This window comes from Homo sapiens, chromosome 7 (genome assembly GCF_000001405.40).
Source record: "Homo sapiens chromosome 7, GRCh38.p14 Primary Assembly".
Classification (NCBI taxonomy): Eukaryota; Metazoa; Chordata; class Mammalia; order Primates; family Hominidae; genus Homo; species Homo sapiens.
Genome location: NC_000007.14, coordinates 82340068 through 82366074, shown reverse-complemented (window position 1 = coordinate 82366074; position 26007 = coordinate 82340068). Strand labels below are relative to the sequence as shown.

Genomic DNA, 26007 nt, shown 5'->3' with positions numbered 1-26007 from the left:
GAGGAGAGTTGGCTTTGGTATTATTTGCCATTTGGTTCCTTTTCCCTTTTGAGGCTCTCAGTGCTAACGTTTCTCCATTCACTGGCTAAGAGAGTAGGGAGTAAAGAGGCCCCCTGTCAGAATGATAGAGAACAACAAAGACCTCCTCCCAGTAGTAGCTTGAGTACCCAATATTCTTGTCTGTCATCTAACTGTGTTCAGGAGAAAATAACTAGGAGGGTCATGCAAATTGTGCAATATAAGTTCAGGCTGTCTTCAAATCTCTCCAATTAGCCACCTATAACACTTCAGGACAATGTGAAAGATGACTACCTAATATTTAGAAGTAACGTATAGCTCTTCAGTATTTAGATAAATGAAATAATTAATGTGTCTTTCATGGAAAGGCTCAAAAGCGTAGCTAAAAATGTAGAGATGCACAATTATGAACTTCATTTCTCTATGTAGCCAACCCAATGACTGCTATAAACAAAACACCATCTATTCATTGATCTGTCATTGGTCTACACCACAAAAATCAATGTTATTTGAATCCCTTACTCACAATGAAAGGATGTATTCTTGAGTAATGAAAATCAATGAACATTATTTTCCTGAGAATAAATTGAATGTAAACAAAAATACTTTCTTCTGAATAAAAATAGTCTTATAAGAGAATTGTCTTCACAGTTCCATGTAAAATAAACCAAAGTAATCATATGTTTCATCATATATGTGTTAAAGGTTATGTCATTTTAGTCTAGAGAACTGAAAATTGTATACCTTAAAAGTTGCAATGAATATTTGAACAGTAGTGCATTAGATAGTGCATTGTTTACAGTTTTTGGTGGAAGGCCAATTTTTTTTAATGTGCAAAAGTAAATTTTCATTTTTAAGGGAAACCCCACATCCTTTTTCTAAAATGTGCGTTCCTTTCTAGTCTCCTTTTTCTACTGTCTTCCCCACTTCTCCCAACTTCCAGATGTCCTTGTCCCTCATGCCTTCTCTCAATCTGTTTTCCTTTGGGTTATCTGAATCTCTTTCAATTCCTTGTTTTATTTTCCCTTTTTTAGTCTTATCTAGTGCCAGGTGGCTGTGTTATAAATTGAGGGAGAATTGGTCAATCAGGAATGTGTTATTTCCCCTGGGTTTCCTAGCTTTATGCCCTCCCTGAATGTCTCTACTGAAGAGGAAAGACATTGCGATGAACACAACAGAGTCTCTTGCATTAATCCTATTGTCTGCCCATTCATTCCATAAACTTTCCCTTCTGTCCCATCAGAAAACTGAACACAGGGAACAAGACCAGCTGGGATGGCAATTAGAAACCTTTTCGCACAGTCCTGACAGAGAAGTTTTCTTTGGATGGAAAGTATATACACTATGCTTGAATTTATCCAAGGTGATTTCCATGTGCTTTTGAAAAATCTAGCAGGAAGAATCTGATTGGGAGGGTCAAGAATAAGATTCTAATTCGAGCCCTGGCATTAACATAAAAGAAGCATATTATGCACTTCTTAGATAGCAGTTTTATTACAGAAATAAGAAAAACCAGATTAATTTCTCATTTTAGTGGCATTTAGCATGGTGCAGTTTGGTATCCCAGGGCAAGAAACTACATACAGAGTGGAGGTCTTTAAACAAAACTTTTTGACCATTTCTCTTAACCAGTCAGGGCTTTTACCTTTATATCCACAGGTGGACAACAATGCAGGGACTCTATAAATAGGTCCTTAATCATGCTATGAACTTCTTGAGCTAGATCCATAGTTCTCAATTGATTTGCTCTATCTTTGACATTTGCTATGTTCTTGTCTCCAGCTGCAGTGCCCTAGCCAGAACCCTGCAATCTTTCTGCCAAACTTTTTTTTTCTTTTTGACACAGGTCTCTATCACCCAGGCTGGAGTGCAATGACATGATCTCTGCTCACTGCAGCCTCTGCCTCCTGGGTTCAAGTGATTCTTGTGTCTCAGCCTCCTGAGTAGCTGGCATAAGCCACCATGCCCAGCTATTTTTTTTTCTTCGTAGAGACAGGGTTTTGCCATGTTGGCCAGGCTGGTCTTGAACTCCTGGCCTCAAGCAATCTGTCCACCTCGGCCTCCCAAAGTGCTGGGATTACAGGTGTGAGCCCCCGGGCCCTGCCTTCACCCAACCTTTTTGAATCATATTCCTTTGGGCTACTTGTTTGGTTCTTGGCTTCAGCTTTGTCCTTGGACACTGGCTATTGATTCTCCTTAGATCTATAGTCTGAAGAACCCGGCTGGAGAATCAGACCCAGTCCATCCATTAACTCCAAGCCTAGGTCCTAGAATTTAGTATGTCTAGTGCTGCCTGAACACCACCTGGTCAGAAAGTATTTATCCAAAACATATGTAAGATGTTTATTATCATTACTACTTATTTCGCCCTTAGTTGCTGATTTGCTTTTCTTTTAATAAGGTCAAGATAAAAAGTCTCACCTTGCCCTTTGCATGCATGTACTTTTATTCACTCCTTTCATTCTAGTTAAATCTAAGGATAAAGACAAACAGGCGGGGCGTGGTGGCTCACGCCTATAATCCCAGCACTTTGGGAGGCCGAGGCTGGTGGATCAAGAGGTCAGGAGATCAAGACCATCCTGGCTAACACGGTGAAACCCCATTTCTACTAAAAACTACAAAAAATTAGCCGGAAGTGGTGGCAGGTGCCTGTAGTCCCAGCTACTGGGGAGGCTGAGGCAGGAGAATAGCATGAACCTGGGAGGTGGAGCTTGCAGTGAGCAGAGATGGCGCCACTGCACTCCAGCTGGGTGACAGAGTGAGACTCCGTCTCAAAAAAAAAAAAAAAAAAAAAAAAAAAAAGAGACAAATAAATAAAACTATGGTAGTCAGATGACCATATATAACTAAGTCAGCTGCATAAATTATAAGAGACTATTTTATGTGTTCTTTTGGTAGGCATTAGAAATTGGATGCCTGAGGACACTTAATTTCTTTTCTGAAATTTTTATAACTTAGGCATTTCAAAGTGATAATAATCATTGAAAAATTAAGCAATGTAGAAGTGTATGTAAAGAATAGGTCTTATTTCAGGGGGTTGCCTGACAATTCATACGACAATTATACCATCATTTCTTTTGCACCTAGCAGAACTTTCTGACAGTTTGTGCCTAAATAAAAAGGTTTTTAGTAGGGTAATGAATGCCCATTGCAGGAAGTATTTGAGAGAATTACCATGATAATTTTTCATGTGTAATGTATAAAGGAGGCTTCCATTTATTAAGAACTGGACTAAAAGACCATGATGTTTTCTTCTGCAGTTTCTGGAAGTATTTGAAAATATTATTTATTACTTGCAGTAATTGGAGAAATAATCTCAGTTCAAGGTTCGCTTACAAGATGTCCAACGGTGATACAAATGAGTATGAGGCCACTATTTCCCTGATATGATCAAGAGACATGAGAGGATAAACCAGAGCTTTGGGAAAATACATGTAGGGTAGTTGAAAAGACAGTTCTGCAGACAGCAGGAGATGCACTGAAGGGCCTTTTTTCCTCCATTACTGCAGGTGACCTAAAACAGGTAGTGTGAATTCTAATGGATTGCATGTGCTCAAGTCCTTTTGTATTTCCTGAATGGTGATAAAGGAGTCCATTCAGCCTCTCTTCTACAGAAGGAACATTTTGAGAGAGAATATAAGGGTTGTCAGGCCTGTGGGAGGCTGCTGAATCACATATGATTCACAGATCTAGCCTCAGAAATCTTTAGACTTTAACGTTACAATACAGGGTGGTCCATTTTAAAACTGCTTGTTGAAATCTACGTTGGGATGTGCTCTAAATGGAGCACTAGGAACAGTAACAGAATGACTAATAATGACAAAAAAATTGGGAGACTGCAACAATTCATTTGGAATGTTGATGTTTAATTCATGTTACTGGCTGCTTCATGATTCTTTTATATTTCATAAAGATGGTGAGTTACATGGGCGTGCCATCTTAAGCAGGGACCTCAAGCTAAAATACCATTCTCTTTTCACCGGAGCTTGTTAAATGCTTCCTACCTGTATCTGAGATGATTGAATATGATTCAGTTTTCAAGTCTTTGCTTCTAATTATGGAATAATTATTTGAAATATGAAAGATATAAACATCAACACAAATGAGGCTTTTCATGAGATCAACTATTGTGTTTTAAAGTGTTTATTTCACATTTTATGTTAATAATTTAAATTCCAGTAACCATCTTGACATTTGCTACCCCATAAGAGAGAATATAGCTAAAACTGTGATTTTTCTCTTTTGTTAGTATTAGCAAATTATATGATACTAAATATTTAACTAGAAAAATGTTTAAAAAAGCCTTCTCCAATAACTGTACGTACATTAGTCATGTCTTAAAGCATGTTTTTAATCTACTGAGCGTATGATATGCAAGCTTCTATTGGATTTAGTTATACAAAGTGCTTTTTCTGCCTAATATTTTAATATTTTAAAAAATTTAATTGCCTAGATTTTGACCTGCTTTTCAACATATAATACATTAAAGATCGCAATTATATAATTTTTTTAAACATTAGCAAATGTTTCATAATTTGAAACATTTAACAATTCAAATTAAAAAATAGTTGAAAACATGACCAAGAAATTAAAAATGACTTCTTTTTCTGTATTACTTGGACATTTATATAAACTTTGCACTAATGGTTCACAGTTTCTGAAAGGGGTTATTGGATAGTGCTCAAAATTGTAACTTTTTTGCCATTTGATAAACATTATTTTTAAACACAATTCTCATTGTTATTTTTACTGCATTAATGGTGAAAAACAGTTTGGTAAAAAACGTAGTTTAGGTTTTCATTTATATTGAGCAGGTTAGGAAAGGGAGCTGGCTGTAATTCCTATCTAAGAAACAATCTTCTGTTTAGAATGTTCACTGTGCTCAGACCAGCAGAGGGGAACATAAGGGCAATGTATATGCTGCTCAGGCAAAGAGGGTCAAAGAGAACCGTGTTCTGTGAGGACAAAAAGGTTGAAAGCAATTAAATTGCAATATATTTTCTGAGCTAGAAAGATGTTTACCATCTCATATTTGAAGGCTTCATTCCTGTTTCTCTAGAATCATTTACTTAATGTTAAAAAAATAAAAAAGTTGAAGATGGACTAACTTGGCAATATTCTTTTCTGATGGTTTTCAGAAAGAGAGTTATTGTCTTTCTAATTTGCAAGTTAATATATTTGCTTTGACAGCTTTTTGATTGTTAAATAAACCCTGTCTTAGAAGAGCTGTCAGCAAATTACACTATGGGCTATATTTAAAAGAAGTGCCACATGAGTCAATTTGGGTCCTGGTTTTATATTCATACATTTGTTTGTATATCTGAACCTGCATCATAAAAACAATGAAGGCCAGCTGAAATAGTCATATTTTCTATGCATATTGAAGGACTTAATGTTGCTTTTAGAATATTTTATGTTCATAAACATATCAGGGCTGTCTCTCCACCTAACCTGCTATTGTATGTCAAGTCTGTTTGCATGTTATAAATAATATCAGAATCAATTGCTGTGGACCTAATGCATAACACTGAGGATGTCTTGTTATGTTAATGAAAGTAGTACAACTTCTGGTTGTAAGTAAAATAAATGGTACTTGTTTAATTTGAAAATACTGATGAAAACTTAAAAATGTAACGTGAGGAAAAATTATAGCATTTAGGTAATTATTAATATGCATGTATTTCCACTGAGATGTCTTAAGGAAGAACCTACTTAGGTATTCTTGTTTTTAAATCTTCATTTTCTAACTGTAACAGCCTTTTTTCTTGCCATGTAAAGAAAGACTTCTGCAAATGTTATTTTCTTTCTATCAATGAAACAGACTTTGAACCTAGGGCTATGACAGTCTATAAACTAGAAAACAAGAGGTATCTCCAAGTTCTGATGAGAGGAGAGTTGAGGGCTACTATCTGGTGGTTTAACAATGAAAACCAAACCATGAATCAGATCATGGCACCAGTTAGCATTTATTAATGGAGTTATACATTCTTGGCTTCTCAGGGCAAACTGCTCTGCCACTTACTAATTTTGTGTCCTTTGGTAAGTAACTTAACCGCTCTATGCCTCAGTTTCCTCATCTGTAAAGTAGGACTAATAACGGTATCTACCTCAATAGATTTTTGTGAGAATTAAAGAGTATGTTCACAAAGCATGTTTAGAACAGTTCCTGACATATAGGTGCTCAATAGATATTACCTGTTGTTTTTTAAGTAGCCACTGTATGTTCAGAACTGTGCTAGATAGTTTCAGAACATGATAAGCTATGGCCCATCCATTCAAGGAAATTAAATATTGTTGGAGAAATAACACTGATATAAAACAGTATGTCTGTATGTGTAACATTTTGTAGGACAGGCTGTACATATTTTAGATACTCAGAGAAAAGAAAAAATTATGATAGTTTGAGGACTTGAATTGGCCAGAAGAGGGACCTGAAGCCCAGACTTGGGTGATTTTCAGTAGCTGAAGAGGATTCGAGAGGTGATTTCAGTTTAGTAGAAAGAAAACGTATTTAAAGAGCATGACAAAGCTGACATATTTGTAAAACAGTTCAGTGCGCTGGACTGGAGATACTGATCTATATGGGGAAGTAGATTCACCATTTAGGTTAGAATCCAAAAGTAGTAAGCATTGGAGGATTTTATAGTATTGGAAATATTATGAATGATCAGCTAATAATTCATAGAAATAAAGAAAATAAGGAAATTTTTACCATGACATTAAGTAATATCATGGTAATTAAATAATAATTAAATACATGCTCGAATTAGGCTGAAGTAAATTTTGCGAACAATTTGCAATGACTGAGAAAAATCACAGATAAACCATAAAGGGAAAGATCTTCAATAAAATGAATGGAGATTTTGTAATGAGCAATTAGAATTTTAGCTCATTTGGTTCATAGAAACACCAGCAGCAGATTGTGTGGCCACGTGGGACACCTCGGCTGGCATCAGGCTACCCGGGACTATGCTAGAGGTTGTAACTAATTGTGATGTGGAAGGATAAAAAACAAAACCCTCAAGGCTTCAGGGAACAAATCTCATGTATGAGAACACTCCCCCAGCTAATCCATGGAACTATGTTACTATCAACCCCAAAGTATAATTTTTATTTGTTGTCTTGGAAGCTGGAAGCAAATTGCTGCAGCTGAGGAAGAAAATAAAGAAAAGATGAAAAAAAATACTTGGATAAAACAAAAATCAATCCAAGATAGTGGAAAAGAAGATCTCATGAAAATAAATTTAGATCTCATGAAAAGAAGATCTTATGAACAAAAGTAGATCTCATGGCCTTTGAGATCTATGAATATGAAATTTGTAATGTGGATTAACTGCACACTCACACAGATGCACGCACACACACACGAGCAGAAAAAAAAAACAGAAAATGAAGGCAGAGAAACATGAACAGCTTAGGAATCAGAGTTTAGTGATAGTCTTTTTTCCTACTCTCAAGTACTTTACCTTTCCACTGATTAGCATGAGTACATCCTTTTCTGCCTTTCTTACAGGATTACTCTAGTCAAAAATGGAATACTAAAGCACTTCACAAGTTGAAACAGCTTTCTAAAAACAGAGCAGCAGTGTTATTGAAAATGGTTTAAATTGAGAATAATTTCAGGAACTAACTAACATTTCTGGCATGACACCCATCTCACAAACAATCCTACGATTTAATGTAGATAACAAGCACTCCCTTTATACCAAAACAATTAATTGTATACTTATCCATGTTATAAGAAAAGCATATTTAGCGAAATTTCATGTCTAGGTTATCTAAATCTTTGGCTTACTTGTGTTATTTTTACCCAACTACAGGAACACTGTGGATGGTTTATTATATAACAAAAATAGGAACAGTTTGGCATTGGTAGGGTATTTATAGCAAGTGGAACACTAGACTTTTGAAATATATGAACTTATTACTTCAGATTTGTGATAAGCTATTTATGCATCAACACAATTGAAGTGGTCAGTTTGTTAGATCTTTTGATATTTAAATTTTTCCCCAGCTCCACAGGGCATAACTATGTCTCTTATTTGCTTCGGTTAAAAATAAACGATTTCTTAAAAATAGTGGCAAAAAGCAGAGAACTGCCTTAGGATAGGGCTCCGAGTGGTACAGACATCTCACTTTCCCACTATCCCTCCTATAAATCCCTTACTGTAACAAGCCCTCTTTTTTTTTTTTTTATTATACTTTAAGTTTTAGGGTACATGTGCACAATGTGCAGGTTTGTTACATACGTATACATGTGCCATGTTGGTGTGCTGCACCCATTAACTGGTCATTTAGCGTTAGGTATATCTCCTAATGCTATCCCTCCCCCCACCCCCCACCCCACAACAAGCCCTCTTCCTTTCCATTTTCTCTGTGGTATAGTTCCCATTCCCTCTTTGTCTCTGTGACAATTGCTAGTGGAATAAATTGGGAAGGGCATGGAAAAAAAGGTCTGTTTCAATATTCTTTTCTTACAAATCTGTTTACACACATTATTATTTTTTCCAGAGGACTTATCCACATCAAATATAGGAAGGAAAGACAGTTTAATCTTGGATAGGACCTATTATAACAATTCTTAGCTATCATTTTGGCTGCATTGTTCCAACCAGGCAAATTCTCTCTTTAGCTTAGGATTTAAAACAATTAAATAGATAACTATGCACACTGGACACTTTGTACTCAACTGTTATACTTTTACAGTAGATTACACAAAGTGTAATTTGTGTTTTTCTGAATTTGTTGTTTTGCACATGCACACAAAATGAAATGGATTACCATATTTTTTTCGTTTTGAAAATAAAGAGTTTACTGAACTATACACTGCACTACTCTTTTGAAAGCCACATTACAGACAAATCCAACCTTGAAAGGAACAATATTAATTGAATGGCAAGTTTTTTCTCTCATGCTTAATGAAAATCTGCATATTCTATATGTTTATTTTTAGAATTTGGGCTGTTTCTGTACAATAAAGTGAAGTAGAGGATATAAAAGATTTTTTTCAATTATTCAATAAAATATTTGCCTCAATTTTAAGAGATATTTTAGTGACTGCTTCAAATTTTATTGAATTTGTAGACACCAAACATTTAGAAACCTTGTACTGCCAGTCAACTCTGTAATGAGTTATTGAAGGGACAGAGAAGGATTATAAGACTTTTTTTCTATGACAATTAATACACACAAAATATTTGGAATTTTAAGGCATGCACTCTAGAGGTTTAATCATTTCTTTAAAGTATCAAGTCTAAATTTTGATAATCTGCTACTTGTTGAAAAGTGGATGCTATTTACAGATGCATGGGTCCAGCAGTTCATTTTTTTTTTCTGATGTGGATTACGGAGAGATACGCATTCAAACATTAAATAAAGATAGCTATTTTTTTTAAAAAAATGGTAGTGCAATTGCATTTCATTTCAATTTACTTTTCTATTCAATAAATACTTATGTGTCTGCTATATTCAAAGCACTGTCATAAAAATTTTGGAAATGTATTGATAAATGAGAATAAATGTATATTTATCTAATTCTGAAAGTATAAGGAAATAAGCGCACAGCACAATTAAAGGACTTTTGAAGTTTAGTGGAGAGACGAGAATATTTTTAGTTTGGGAAGTTGTGAAAGGTGATATTAGAATATTAGTGTGATTTATCCATTCGCGATGGAAGTGGGAGATTAATTCCAGGTAGAGGTTATATACAGAGCAAAGGCAGAATGTGGAAAAGGACAGTCAACATGCATGGAAATGTGTGAGGTTGGTTGGATTAAAAAGTCTTTGAAAGGAAAAAGCTAGCGGGGCTGTGTTGCTTACCTTTTCTAAATTTTCTTCATCTCTTAGTTTTTCTCATCAGTGAAAGACGAACCCTAGTTTTTATGATGACTAAATGAGAGAATGCATATTAAATACTTTAGCATAGAGATGGTATAAAATAAGGTCTCAATGCATTTGGCTATTAGCTCTGTGTTGGAAAAATGCTGAGATACTACTATTAAACAAAGGACTGGAGGAGGGATAAGATGGTATGGACCCTGATGACTGGGGAGATGATTTTCCAACAACGAGAAGGGACATAGAGGGTTTATAGTATGGGGAGGGGGGAAGATATTGAGTTCAATTTTATACATATTTGAAAGGAATGGTAGGACATCTGGATGAAATGATCAAATGGTAGTTAAGATAGAACTGGAGCTCAGATTTAGAGATTATATATGGAGATTATATATGGAGATTATATATGGAGAAGGAGTAGAAAAAGAGAAGTAAGGAAGGAGAATGGCAGGTAAAATCAAAGACAGATGCTGAGAAATGACTATATTTGGCTTTGGGAAAATGAAAAGGAGTCAGATGATAATAATATAAAAGAAGAGAGACCAGGGAATATGGTCATAGGAGCCATAGGAGCACGGGTCTCAAGAGGGCAGTGGAGCAGTGATGAACACTAGTTAGGAAAAGGATAAGACATAGTCCTGTTGCATATGTACCTTGACTGCATACGGAAACTCTGGAGCTTCTCATCGTTTTCTTTCACAAGTACCATCCATTGTTCTTACTCTTCTGACTAGCTATCATGTTTAAGTCCTGTCTTTATAACACTGAAACTTCTGTTACTGTTGGAGACTTGAAGTCAGGGAATATACATTTCTAACAAGCAGTGTTAAGTGTGTTCTTGCCACTGCATATTTGAAAAATTCTGTGTATTTTCTCATGGAAACAATGTACCTATTAGTCAAGGTCTATTATACCTGTACAACCAGATATACATGAGTTGCCATGCACTTTCTTGAGCTGGCCAAAGATTGTATATATTTATTTCTAAGAGAAAGATTTTCAAACTATTAAACTTTCTTAGAGCAATTTGATTTCACAATGATTTTAGGATTTTGTTCTTTTAAAAATGCCTGTGTCAGGTGATTTAAAGTGTGATGTGTATACTCAGCCCTCCTCATTTAGTCTCTGCAGCATATTCATAAGTTATCAGGCAAAAAATGCAAAAAATAAAAATTTGAAATCTGGTAATATGGTATTTTCACAGTTTCTTATAAATATTATGATAAAATTCTTGGTTCCATAGAAAAAGATATAAAGAGATAAGCCTTGTTTATGAATACAGTATAATAACATTTTAGCAAATATTTTAGTAGTCCTTGTTAATTTAGAATGTGTGGAGATCTTGAAATTGTCAGGACTTTCAACTTGCCTTTCCTTGTTTTTCTTTTTCACCTGCTGGTATCTGCCCCACATTCATCTGAATGTCTTTTTTCTCTGAACTTGCTCTCTTCAGACTAGTACTAGTAAGAATTTCACATAGCCATACTGACTAGTACCGGTGGAAACTGATGACCTCCGGTATAGTGCCAAGTCCTTAAATACTTTCCAGCTATTCTTTTTAAGCCTCCCATTTTTCTTTTCAACTGTCTGCCTTAATACCTACTTCTTGTCCCTTAACAGATAACTGGTCCTCCTTCATTACAAAGGAAATAGAGAGCAGTAAGTAAAACTGTCTCAACTTTTGTTCTAGTTATTCCAGTTATTTCCATTTACCTCAAATCTGCATTCTCTTTCCATTTTCCAGAGAAGAATTATCCTCTCTTCTAGCCATGGATTAGATTTCTCTTTGGTTCTACTTATTTCTTAATTCATCCCCCACTTCCACATTCTCATGTTGGAATAGAGGGGTAAACTAGAAAAAATATCTGGAGCCTTTTAAAGGACTGTTGTAGGGGAGAAAAGATTTCTTACCTATTGCAGGATTCACAGCTGAGATCTCCTATAAAATAAAAGATAGATAACAAGAGAAAAGCATGTGAATTAAATTTTATGTGACACAGGAGCCTTCAGAAAATGACCCAAAGACCTATGGAAAACTATATGTTTTTATGGACAGTATTGCAGAAGTATGACTGGAAGATGAAAGGGTATGATCTACTTGTTTATTCAGTACTTCTTGGACTCTCTGTGTGATGTTCCTTCCCTTTGGTATAGGGCAGGACACTCGCCACATGAGAGTCTTCAGCGAAGAAGGGAGGGAGAAGGTCAGACAGTGATCTTCCTAGGCTTTATTGTCTGCTTGGTGGGAGAAGGTCAGAAAGACCTTCCTGCTTTTGCTGTTTTCTTAAATGCCAAGGTGCCCTATTTGGGGGTGGCATTTCCTGTACCCCATCATTGTCAATAAATTACATGTTCTCTCCTGAATCTTTGATATTTCCTTCTCTACTTGCCTTTCTCTTTTTGCATAGAAATAGGCTCACTTCTATTAAAAACCAAAAGGAGCACTGATTCCTCATTCTCCATGTATCATTCTCCTCAAAGATAAGGTGGATAAATTTCTCACCTTATTTGATGACTGTATACTTCTTTATTCTCTTTGGAAACTTCTCCCTTCTTTGGCTTTTGTGATACCATTGTTCTTGGATTCCTTTTTCTAGTTACTACTCAGGTTCCTCTATTTGTTCTTTAAATGTACCTTTCCAGAGTTGTCACTACTGTTTATTTCCTTCCTTTCGCTGTACACTCTCCTTTGGGAGTTATACATTGATCTTTAATTTCTATGGAGATTTCTCTTTCAAGAGCTTTAAACCCATGCCATTCAATTGCCTAGTGTATATTTATACTTGAGCCTCCCCCAAACACCTCTAATCGAACCAATAAAAATGAACCTGTCAATGTCCCTTTAAACTGTTATTTCTCCTATACTTACTTTCTATACCACAATTTCCCATCATCCTCTACCTGAGAAACTCCCTAATCATCCCATATTCTTCCTCTCCTTCACTTTCTATATCCAACAGTGCATGAAGTCTTACTGTCCATCCTTCAGAATTTCTGTTGAGCTAGTTCCTTGTACTTGGCCTCCCCTTCTTTTCCCTTTATCCCTTTCACCACCACTGAATTAGTCTGAGTCCATCTCATTTCTTACCTCTTAACTAGACTTTGTCTTTGTGATTTCTGTTCTCCCTTTAAGCTACCATCCATTCAGTGTCAGGGAAATTATTTAATCATGTTTACATACATTTACATGATCTTTTTACTCTCTGACTTCTCATTTTCTAATATCTCTCCGTTATTTTGAGAATATAACCTAAATGTTTCAGAATCGTATTTAAGACCCTTGGCCTGGCCTATCACTCTTCCCTATCACTCCTGCCCTCATTCCATACCTTTTGCTGAACCAAGCTTGGACTCAGTCATTTGAATCTCTTGAAGTTACTGAACACATCATGTCTTACATTCTCTTTGCCTTCATTGTTACTTCCCTCTCTGCTCAATTTTGTCAAGTTCCACTTGTCTTTCAAATATGACTTCAAGTAGCTGCTACTCCAGAAAGCCTCTTCTATCAACCGTCTCATACCACTACTTACTAAGCATTGGCTCTCTTCTGCTTCCTCAAACATTTCCTATCATATTCTTGTTGTTGTTTTCTCTCTTCCTCCCAGACCCATTTTTAAACCCAGCCTGCATCTCCATCTTTTAGTGTCTTTTCCAGCAGTTACTAGTACTTGTTGAATGGATTAACAAAGAACAACAATGAATTCTTCCTAATGGAGTGCTATGTTAGTTTCTTATTATGTGAAAAAGCTGTATCCTCTGTAATTTCCCCCAAATTTTATAGTGTCTTCTGGATAAATTTAATAAAACAGTGCTTAGCGATTACATATTTGTGCTTGACAGTTTACCAAGAAAGAGAAAGATTGATAAAAAATTTTTGCTCATATGAGTGTTTTCCCTTGAGTAATTTTTTACTTTCATGATGAATGGGACCTTTCCTTATTTTCTATTTTTTATAACCTTTTAATTCCAGGTTGAAAGGCAGAGTGCCTAAGTATTTCAGAAAACCAAGTTAACACCTCATATTTATAAAAAATAATCCTTGCTCCTATAAAGTGTTCCTAACAGCTTGTCAGTGGGGTAGGGAAGACTGGATGGGTTCTGAATTGCTTTTCAGCCAAAACAGGCTCACCTAAATGAACACTGGAAGTGACAGTGCACTTGTGTCAAGTTAGAATACATGTTTTGGGTCAGTTTAGTATAAATCAGAATTCAGGGATGAGTTAAGTTCACTTCTTTACATATATATTCTTTGCCTCTCAGTTTCGAGCTAAAGGGATGTATAACGTGTCTTATTATTTGTCAGTGTTGGAAATTATATTTGAGAAGAGATGACTCATTTTTTGTAGGTTCTAGGACTTGTTCAGCACCTGCTTAGAGAAATGAGATAGTCTCATCTAAATTAGGAAATTACTGGATCAATGGTTTTTGCTCCTACCTGTACCCTACTATAATTTTTTGTATTTAATATAAAAATGGGGCACAACTATGTTTACTAAGAATATTTACTTATAATATTTTTCAAATATAGGCACCAGCTAATAAGTAGCACTAGTTAAAATGTTATTATAACAATTTTTCTCTATTTTATACATTATTCCCTTTTATTTGTTTTTGTTTCTTGATATTCATTTACCTTTTTCTATCCTGTTCATACAGCGTGGTTCAATAAGTATTCTTCCTTATTTTCATATGTGCTAAAGTATTCCTAGTTTTAATGTATTCCATTTAGTAACTAGTTTGTTTCATATGTAAGTCAAGCCTCTGTGTTTTCCTCTAAGGCATTTCATCCTTTTTTATAACTGGCTTTCCATTTTTTTCTTTCTCTTATCAGCTCATCATTCTTTTAAATGCTCTCTTACATGTCATTTAAATCTCTTCCATGTTATATTTTTATTCCATATTTTGTTATATTTAAATTTATCTGAAAAAATATATATTTATACTACTTACATTTATATTTTAAAAAATTTATATTTATACTACTGGAATTCTTCCCTAAGGAAGAGAAGACATACACAGTTAAATCTCCATTATTGAAATTATATATAGATATGTAGAGAAAAGTTCAAATTCAAATATAAATCATCTAGCATTCTTACTGGCTTACTAATGTTTCTTTACAATTGCCTTGGCAAAAAGGAATACATGCTTTAGGTCTACAACCTGAGGAAGAATAAGTGAAATATATGGAGGAATACAAGTTAAATGATTTTAATATGAATGGGGAAGTTTGTGTGGTTCTATTTGGTAATATCTCTCATACCAGGAAAAAGTGAGATAGAACATGGATTTAGGGTCTTCTAAAATATCCTGACATCCATAGCTTATATTTTAAGATGTCCATTGCATACCTGAAAAAGATCAATCCTTCGATCATAATTGTAATGATCAAAACTATTGCTTTAAAATTTGGATCCAGTAATTCCAGTAATTATTTGGATCTAGTAATTCCAAATTCAGTAATTCCAAATATAAATGGATCTAGTAATTCCAAATCTAAGAGTCTAGCTAAGGAAATAATTTTTTTGTTGTTGTTGTTTTGTTTTTGTTTTTTTGAGACGGAGTCTCACTCTGTCGCCCGAGCTGGAGTGCAGTGGCGCGATCTCAGCTCACTGCAAGCTCCGCCTCTTGGGTTCACGCCATTCTCCTGTCTCAGCCTCCTGAGTAGCTGGGACTACAGGCGTCCGCCACCAAGCCTGGCTAGTTTTTTGTATTTTTAGTAGAGACGGGGTTTCACCGTGTTAGCCAGGATGGTGTCAATCTCCTGACCTCGTGATCCACCTGCCTCGGCCTCCCAAAGTGCTGGGATTACAGGTGTGAGCCACCGTGTCTGGCCCGGAAATAAAATATTCTTAAGCTTCAGGCTCTAAGATATTTGTGGTGGTGTAGTATGTAGTGGTTAAAAGCTGATGATATCTTAAATTTCTCTTTAAAAAGGAGGATAATCAAGTATATTATGGAATATAGAGATAATGGAATATTAAGTGGCCATTAAAAATAAAATGTTTACAAAATGTAACGTCATGGGAAAGTATGTATCATATGTTATAAAGCTAAAAGAGATATGCATTTTATATAACATACTTTCAACTATGTGAATGAATTTTAAAACACTAGAAGGGAATGCATCAAATTGTTGAATGTTCCACCTGGCTGGTGGAATTATTCTTGCATTTTACAAATGGTCTGCATTTAGTATGATCTTACTATTATATTCAGAAGACTTGTAAGCTAAAAGATAAAGTTTGTAGTTTAGAATGTTTAATAGCTATTTAATGGAATTTTAATTCAAAATAAGCAAATTGTTTACTCTCCTTGGACAAGACATCAATGTCATTTTTCTCCTTTGATTTGGAGGCATTTCAGCATCCTGAAAGCCTGCACACTAAGGATTCAGTGCTTTTGCAATTTAAAGCTGGAGTGGAAGGGTGGACATAGTCGGTGCTAGGAGGGAGAGGAATAATTTAAGGGCATTTTAATGAATTATCTGTAGCGTGGATATAAAATATCAGCATGTGACTTTTATTTGCCAGAGATCTGATAGAACATAATCTTTTCTGATTTCTGCAGTATCAAATCATGGGTGGATAAGATGCAAGAAGACCTTGTCACACTGGCAAAAACAGCAAGTGGAGTCAATCAGCTTGTTGATGTGAGTAAAATCCACCAAAGAGATTTCTTAATCTTTTCATTAATTCGAATGCAGTTCTATCTTCTAGGAAACTGTGTCTCTATATTACAAATGGGATATGATTTCTCATGTGGATCTGGTGGTGAAATTCTGAGAGAAACCATTGGTACTGCTAGTTACTGTGAACAGGAAATGCCATCCTTAGAAATTAAGGAAACTTTCTCAGCACACTTTGCAGTTGATACGTAGGTCTCACTTAAGTGAGTCTGCGTGTTATGTATACTCTCCGTAAATTTAAATAGGGAAGTCATGTACTTACTATTATAATGTTTCCATTCTTCAGAATATATTTAATAATCCCTCATACAGTGGTGACTTGAACTCCTGTGATGGATTCTTTTGAATATCCTCAGTGAAAACATATATTCATTCTATTAGGGTAAAAATTATTTGAAAAGTGTTTACAGGCATGTCTAGAGATTAGAGATAGTCACTGAGATCAGTAATAACGGTTCTGGTGCAAGATAAGGAGACTCTATAAAAGACGATTTTTCTTGTGACTTATGAATTAGCTATGAAAGTCACTCTAAAGTGATTTTTGAGTGACAGCAATATAAATATTTGTATGGCATCTTAACTAGATTATTTTCCATGGGTAAGAGCATTTACATGTATAGGTTCTGTAAGATTTATTAAAAATTAAATGTCACTTTTTAAGGGCCCCACTACTTTCGTTTCAATGTAAATAATACATTTGAAAATATTCTCATTTTGTGTTGTTAGTGATGCAATGAGGCCTTTTATTTTCCAAAAATGTGATGAGTCAATGAGATAAAGTGGTATAAAAGCAGCTTCATATATAGCATGACTTTTTATCATGTAAATATATATGAGAAACTGGAATGTGTGGTTACTTTATGTATTAATAGAAATTCTTAAGGAAACCAAATACACACAAACTTCAAAAAATTATACCAGAATCTCTTTATAAAACAACTGTAGAGAGTGTTGAACAAACCTAAGTGTCTGTGAGATAAGGAATACGTTTGGAAATGAAAGGTGTTCCCTGCGAATAACAATGATCAGATTTAATTCTAGTCAGTGTATTATGTTGAGCACGTAATATGTCCCAGACACTGTGCAGGCTGCCAAGGATAAACAAAGAAACAGTATTCCTCTCCTCAGAGAACTGACACTCTGTTGATAAAAAAAAAATCTCGATTACTAGTGCAAAGAAACTTGAAAGTTATTGTGTGCCGATGCTTGGGATCTGCAATGATTCACTGTGGGAAACTATATTAGAATATGAAAGTGTGTAGGTAGTAAGTGAGCCTCTATGAAAGTCATGGAGTTTATGGAAGTACCACCAAATCTTCTTTGTTAATTTTCATTTAGATACTATTTAAATTGAGAGCAAAGATTTTATTTAATCATAATGAGAAAAAAAAGAAAGTACAGGTTCTGGTGAGAAGTTATATGACTGTCTTTATCGACAGATGGAGATTAAAAATAAGCTGCTCTTGGGAGCATCTCCCTTACTCTGTGAGTGCTTCCCCAGCCTTAAAAAACAACTTGCTTGGCTGGCCTCATTGTTCCTTTTGGTGTTAATATGTGAAACTTTTTTTTTCTGAATCTGCTTTTTTGCAATGAATCATTAACCAAAAAGAATTTTCACCTGGTTTCTATTATGCTTTATGAAGGATAGATTACTAAGAAGAGTATAGATATTGATGAATTAATCAATGACTGAATTAACATAACAAAATAGAATGGAAAAGATGAAAGAAAATCTCTAATTTTCTGTTTATGGGATACATACCTCATTACGGTCACAGAAAAATTCCAAATTAATGAATAATGTGTTAGGTAACTGGGGTGGTGGGAGGAGTATTAGAGCAGAATTCATTATTGGAAATAGAATTTAAGTACTAGGGCACACAAAGAGTGTCATCTTACACAGACAGATGATTCCGTATTGCCTCATTCCTTTTGCTGAAGGATGTCAGAGTTTAGAGTGAACTTTGAGCTGAGATTGGGGGTGTTGGATATATGGTGAGGACCAGAAGTTGAATAAATACAGGAGCTTAGCAGGGCTCCAGTTAGAAATTTATTATTGTAGAAATGAAGGTTCTTCAAATTACAAATTACATTCATTTTTATTGGATTCACAGGGTACAATTAGCTTTTTACATGAAGGCCAAGAACCAACACAGGCACCACAGCTAAAGTAATATATTTTTGGTGATCATGCCACTGCACTGCGGCCTGGGCTTCAGAGTGAGACCCTGTCTCAAAAATAAAATAAAATAAAATAGTAATATATTTTTGCAATTTAGTGAAAATTGCTTTATTGTATCCTAAAATAGTAGCCCATGGAAAGTTGCTAATATTATTAAATACATTCAGTGCTTCAACTTTACAAATGTGAGATTTTTCCCAGGTTACCTGCCTGTCTTCTGTTAAAGATCAAGAGTGAATAGGTTTGTTTAGGACTATTGTCCCTGATGCATTAGACTTTTAAGATGTCTCTTATTGGATTATTCCATTACTGAACCATTTGGAGAATACATATGTCCATCAGTTGTATATGCTCATCCACAAGATGGGTAAAATAATTGAGAGAAGGTTAAAATTTTGTTCTAAGTTACACAACTATTAAATTGGATGCAACTCTGAAATTTGAAACACCTTCTTGTATGCTTTAGAACATATGTTAATAGCATTTTTTATCCTTATTTGTACCTTGAAAACATAAGCAAATCCCCACATAAACAAGGTGAGTATATCAGATTATGCTAATGCTCTTTTTATAAAAGATATAAATTAGAAGAAGCCAAAGCTCTGCCACTAACAATGATCTACTCTTGAATATTTCCATTTGATTTTTTTTTTCAAAAAGAAAAGAGTGTAAGGAAATGTCAACATATAATATACATGCATAATTTAAAACCTCCCATTTCTGTTGATAGCACAGAAATGGTTTGTTTGTATTTCCATTGAAATAATTGCTAACAATGGTACAGAAAGTAAGTTTTCACTGATTTTTTTCTTCATGGTCTTCTAACTGAAGAAAACCCATAATACTTTAAATGGAGTATTATAGCATATCCCTCTGAAAAATCCCTAAGGCTATTATACCTTGGTTCTGCCAATTGCCAGCTTTAGGATCTGGCCAAGTTATTTAATCTCATGGAGTTGTTGGGATTAACGATACAATCTGTATAAAATATTTATTGACATATAGTGAGAACTCAACAAATGTCATTCATTTGTCATATTACTTGGTGACATTGTATAAGCTGGGGTACAGGCTGGGCCAGTATGACAAAGATACAAGCTAAACATGTATTTTTCTGCCACATAGCAGTTGAGAGGTAAGCCATCTAGGACTGGCAGGGTGACTCTGCCATCCTTAGCATGGGGCTTCCATGCCTGGGTGCAAAATGATTCTTCCAGTTGCTCTTCTTTCCCAGCTGTCATGTAAAGGGAAAGAGATTTGGAGAGAAGATATCCAGTCATTTAAGAGTAAGACATTTTGCTCACATTCCAGTGGTTAGAACTTAGTCACATCTAACTCAAAAAGTGTCAAAGAAGTGGAGCCTTTTTCTGAGCAGCCATGTGCCCCACTAAAATTCTGTCACAATGGAAGGGGACAGAACCAATAGTGGAGGACAAGAGCAGTCTTCACTTGTATGTATTATTATCTGAATATATAAAAATGTATTAAAGCTGTATTAACAGAGATGGAAGCTGTATTTACACATTTAAAACATTTTAGACAGAAAAATAGGAAAACAGTCCCCAAATTTAGAAAAATATATATGTATTTTTAATAATCTGAATTATAGAATATTTTGAAATATATTTCTAAACACACACACACACACACACACACACACACACACACTCCTTTAGCTACTGCACTGGCAAATGGCAAGGCTGATCATCACATATTTATGAATAGATAACATTTTTAAAAATTAAATAGTCTTAATATTCCTGTAAACAATGTTTTAAAGTTAATGAAATGTTTACCATTGCCATTTGAAATGGTGCATGTCACATTGTTGTTATGAAGCTTTCTTCTTAAAGGTAAACTGTCTGAATTTCTAAAATTTTAGGATAGCATCTGCAAATATGTTTAGAATAATGTGTGGATTAAATTTTTCCTGGAAGCTTATTTTTGAAGGTAGGCCCATTCTACAGTGGCATTGCCATAGAACTTCCTGGCTTTTGATTCATTGTTAATGATTTATTAAGTGAAAGTTTCAAAACCAATACCTTTACATTTCAATATGCTACTCAAAGATGTAAATATGAAATGTGTATAAATATTGAGCATTCAACACTCTCAATTAAGGTAGTATTTACATAAGCGTTCTGAGTGAAGAATTTCTTTTCATTAGTAATTCAGACTAATGCTTACTCTTTGACATTGTGGTCATGTCATCTCATGTAAATAGAATATTCTTTTTCTAGGTGGCGGAGAGTTTAATATATTTACAGAGGGAGATACTCAAAAACAGAGCACAATTAATCATTGGTGATCCTGACTAGGGAATCAGCAAGACGCGCAGGCAACAAGAAAGATTTCCGGGAGTGCTGAAAGAAGCCATATTAGAATATCAGATATTAGAATTCCCTTTACACAATTGTTTTGAGGGTAAAAGGCAATATAAAATTTTAAAGAAGTTATGTGCTTTCTCACTTTAAATAAACAAATACAGCTATTTATTATTAATTCCATATGTTTTGCTTTTATTCAGAGTTGCCTTACTTTCCTCAACAATTAAGTGCTGTAACTAAATCAGCACCATAACGATGTAGGCAATTTAAAATTATCTTATACTCCTGGATTTGCTCTTTTTGTCCTAAGTAGAAAGAAATCTATTTTGACTGCAGAATATAGCACTATAAAGAATGCAGAGAGTATGGTTTCCCTTCACCATCATCCTCCCCCTGCCTCCCTGCTGCACTGGAGTTTTTTAAGTAAGAAGCTATTTTTGTTTAAACAGTGGTTAATTACATTCATTTTCAAAGACACAGAATAAACTCAGGGGATTTCTAATTTTAGGGTGACTTTCAATATTTTCTCAACAGATATTAAAACGTTTTTTCTTTTACCTTCCCATTCTCTTCCGGCCGTTAATTAACATTTTCTGAAGTTATGCTAGTACTTGAGGGATATGTTATTATTTATTGTTACTCTAAACATATATTTAGTGCAATGGTTCTCAGCCAGGGGCTGTTTTGTGCCCTGGCATACATTTGGCAATCTTTGGAAATACTTCTGATTATCATAACTCAGGGCATGGGATGGTATGGAAATACTTGTGATTATCATAACTCAGGGCATGGGATGGTATGGAAATACTTGTGATTATCATAACTGGGGCCATGGGGTGGTTGCTACGTGCATACTGTTGGCATAGAGGCCAATGAGGCTTTTAAACATCCTACAATGCATGAGACATCCCTTCACAACAGAGAATTATCTGTAAAATGTCAATTGTACTAAGGTTGAAAAACTGCTCAAGAAGAACTGAAGAATCTGAGTGTATGAAATTCTTTAAATGAATATAAATTTGTAAAATTGTGTATCAGCATTGGTACATATCAGTTTTGCTTTAGAAAAGCCATTTGTTAATAAGATATGACAGTTATGGGCAAATTAAACTGGGCTGCTTTTAAAAATTGTTTTATTGGCAGTGAAATATATTTAGGTCGTTTGGGGTTAGAGACATTAAACAGGCAGCTCACTCAGCCTATGGTTAATTATTTTTAAATTTAGTTTTAATGAATTTAGTATGATCTTTTTCACTTCTAATTGCATATGAATTTTCTGGCCAAAATGTGTATTCAAATTTATATATAGCTTCAGATATGGAAAAAGAGAGGCTAGGTTAATAAATTATCTCCAGAATTAAACAACGACAACAACAAAAAAACAGGTAGAGAGTTTCTGTTATTTGTGTATGTTAATGTTTTCCTTGTTTTGAATCTAAGTATTCTTAAACATGAACTTAAAATTTACTTTTTGTGTCAAATGCGTTTATCCTAAAAACCAAAAAATTCTTTAGTCTTTGTTATAGTTTAGTTTTTCTGTTCTAGGGACAACCTGCACTTCTGGTTAAATATAATCACCTGTTCTATGTATAACATGGAGAAAATTAAGTGGCCTGTTTGCGATTGTCACTTGTTCTTTTCTTTCTTCTGTCTTTAATATATTGCTCGGAAGCATCACCATCGTGTTCTTGTTAATAGGAGCTAGGGCGAGTAGCAGTGTGTGCTGCAGAACGCTCACCAATTGTGACTTCATTCTTCCTAAATATCCTTCTAAAGACGATGCTCCATTTGAAATGCTATAGTCCTAGCTAAGAAGCTGTATCACAGCAAATAGAAAGAATAGAGTGGCTAGGGAGACTCGTGAGTTTGGTATTAGAATGCTAGTTTGATATAGTTATCATTGGAAAATTATGCACTATAAATTTGAGGCTATGACCAAATTATGCATTTATATATGTGTGTATATGTGGTATGTATATAATTGCATGTGTGTGTATATATATGTTTGGATTGTGTTTGTAGTAAACAAATTTATAATTCAGATTCTTCCTATGTACTAATTGCTGTGATAGCCACTAGAAGTTCTGAGCTAGGTAGTTTACTAGTCTAAAATATGTTGGGTAGACTAGAGAATAAGATATAAACCATCCTTTTATATGAAGGATCCTTTTACCATCCTTCATAATTATGTCTCAATTTGCCTTTCACTCTTTATTTTCCCATAACTCCTTGTATTACACCCATTCTGATCTCTTTCATCCATTACTGAATCACGTTTCCTCCAAAACGTGGCTGTAGTTTCATTTATGTGACTATTGCATCCTATGTGATCTTAATTTCCTCTGAATTCTGACAGCATACATTTCTATATCTCTTCATTGGAACACTCATATTCTTCCTCACACTGATCATTACCTTAATTTGTGTATTTATTCTATTGTTGGAATTTAATTATTGTATCGGTGTTGTATTTGTAGTCTATTATGTAACTGCATAGCATCTTACTTAACCATGATTTTTTTAGGTTTAAAATAAATACTGATTTTAAAATACAGGGAAGAAGTTGTTATAAATCATTATTCACATTCCCAGCAAAGCCTGACAGAGAATCAGTATCCATTCACTAATTCATGCAATTGGTATTGATTGTGCCAGGCACTGTGCTATGCGCTGGTTACGTACCAGTGAACAAAACAGACAAAAATCTTTGTCTTCTTGAGATTTACCTTGTGGTGAAGGGGAATAGAAAATACTCAATAAACATCACACGTATATAAATTATATATCTTTGATGTTTGCACATGCTTATAAGTAGCAAAATAGAAATATCAAGTCATAAAAAATTTCAAAGGTAGTGTCCCAATTCAAAAAGCTAGGTTATAGGGAAAAGAAAAAAAAGGCCATAATTTACTTAGAGTGAAGATGCAGAGAATCAAATGTGATTTTTTTTTTTTTTTTTTTTTTTTTTTGAGACGGAGTCTCGCGCTGTAGCCCAGGCTGGAGCACCGTGGCGCGATCTCAGCTCACTGCAAGCTCCGCCTCCCAGGTTCACGCCATTCTCCTGCCTCAGCCTCCCAGATAGCTGGGACTACAGGTGCCTGCCACCACGCCTGGCTAATTTTTTTTTTTTTGTATTTTTAGTAGAGACGCGGTTTCACTGTGTTAGCCAGGATGGTCTGGATCTCCTGACCTCGTGATCCGCCCACCTCGGCCTCCCAAAGTGCTAGGATTACAGGCGTGAGCCACCGTGCTCAAATGTGATTTTTAAAAATGACATTAATACAGTGTCATGCATCTTGTAAAATGATTACCTATAGTTTCATAAATGCACACACTAAGTTGAATTAATACATTTTAGCAGTTGGTATTTGCATTAGTTCTTTACCCAGCAGCCCTAAACACAATCGACAATATGCTAAAGAGTAAGACATTTTAAAAGCTTGATTTTTATTTAGTAGATTACATCATTTATTATTTTAATCAAAGGGAAGGAAGAGGTTGAAGAGATCAGGGACTAATTAGAAATGATTAAATAATTTTTATGGCAAAATTCATTTTGTTAAAACAGCTAATTTTCATGGGGAAAAGGAGGTTTTGTTTGTATTGTATTTGTTGTTGTTAAAGTATATTCTAACATCAATTCAGATCTACAGTCACTAGTTACTCTTTACCTTAGGTGAAGGAATCTTCACATTTCTCAACATTTCTGTGTGATGGCCAGCTTAGATGATGAGGAGACTTATGATAAAGAAAAAAGAGACTTAATGATATAGAAAAATACTACATTAGTATTTGTTTAGTTAAGGGAACTTTGATCCTTGAAAGTGACCGAGAAAGTACATTATATCATTCTTTTCTGTTAATACACCTTTTAGAAAGAAGACATTCTTAGTTGCTAGGGAACAAGTAGTTCGAAAGCCCAAGGAATACTTAATAAAGGAAAAAAAAATGTATAACCCACAGACAAACCATCCCACGTTGCAAAATTCAACTAAAATTAAGTGAAATTGATTTTGTGGGTATCTGAAGCAGCAGAGGTGACAATGAATCCCTTTTCTTGCCTTCATTAGTATTGAAGATATTGAATTTACTCCTGTTACCCAATAGAGAGTGGAATTAGAATGATGGTGGGAAATATAATGTAACACTTTCTTTTAATCCCACTTCTCATTATTTTGAGGTAGGATGATATTTATTTATCCAGTTTGTCTAGTTTTATACAATGTATGTATGTATGTTCATTTCGATATTTTTAGCTTTTCTGTCATCTTTCTTCTTAGAACCTCACACAATTGTGAAGGTAATAATGGGTATCCTTGAACTAATTTCATTATTTCCTGATGCCTAATGGAAATTGTATGTTGCTCACAATGGAGCTCATCTTTCATATTCATCAGAATCTAATGATAAATGAAATGAAAATGCAAAGTTATAATAAATAAATAATGTTAATCACAACTTCAGACATGGGATTCTGTTAGAATTTTTCATTATTAGGAATAGTGAATCACTCAGAAAGTTTATTATCAATCTACTTATAAAAAAAAAAATAGACTGGGTGCTGTGGCTCACGCCTGTAATCCCAGCGCTTTGGGAGGCTGAGGAAGGAGGATTGCTTAAGCCTGAGAGTTCAAGACCAGCCTGAACAACATAGTGAGATCCTATTAAAAAAAAAAAAAAACAAAAAACAAACTTAGCCAAATTAAGCGAACTCAGGAGGAGCCTGGCTTTCAGCAAGAACTCAAGTTATTTAGAAAATAGTTTGGTCAGAGGAAGGGCAGTTCAGAGGCAAGGCAGCCTCAGAAGCTATTATTGTTGACTCTGCTGGGAGCTCTTCACAGCTAACTCATTATGTTAGTCTTCTATTGCTATGGTGACAGATGACTAAAAACTTATTGGTTTAAAACAATGCAGATTCATTATCTTACAATTCTGGAGATGAGAAGTCCTTTCTG

General features: G+C 34.8%; 1 protein-coding gene and 1 long non-coding RNA gene across 17 annotated transcripts in view; one reads left to right on the top strand and one right to left on the bottom strand.

Annotated features, from left to right (window-relative positions):
• Nucleotides 1–26007, top strand: part of CACNA2D1 (calcium voltage-gated channel auxiliary subunit alpha2delta 1) — a 497513-nt gene that overhangs the window by 77882 nt on the left and 393624 nt on the right. For all 16 annotated transcript variants that reach the window (XR_001744873.3, XM_005250574.4, XM_005250572.4 and 13 more), the window contains exon 2: nt 16426–16507. Coding sequence is in view for 15 of the 16 variants with exons in the window: in XM_005250574.4 (XP_005250631.1) it covers nt 16426–16507 (82 nt within the window). In the remaining variant the exon portion in view is untranslated. The remainder of the gene's footprint in view (nt 1–16425; nt 16508–26007) is intronic.
• LOC124901688 (uncharacterized) lies at nt 11728–24808 on the bottom strand. Its single transcript, XR_007060405.1, has 3 exons — nt 24724–24808; nt 16806–16917; nt 11728–11794 (listed from the first exon to the last, which is right to left on the bottom strand). It is a non-coding gene; the product is annotated as an uncharacterized LOC124901688 (long non-coding RNA).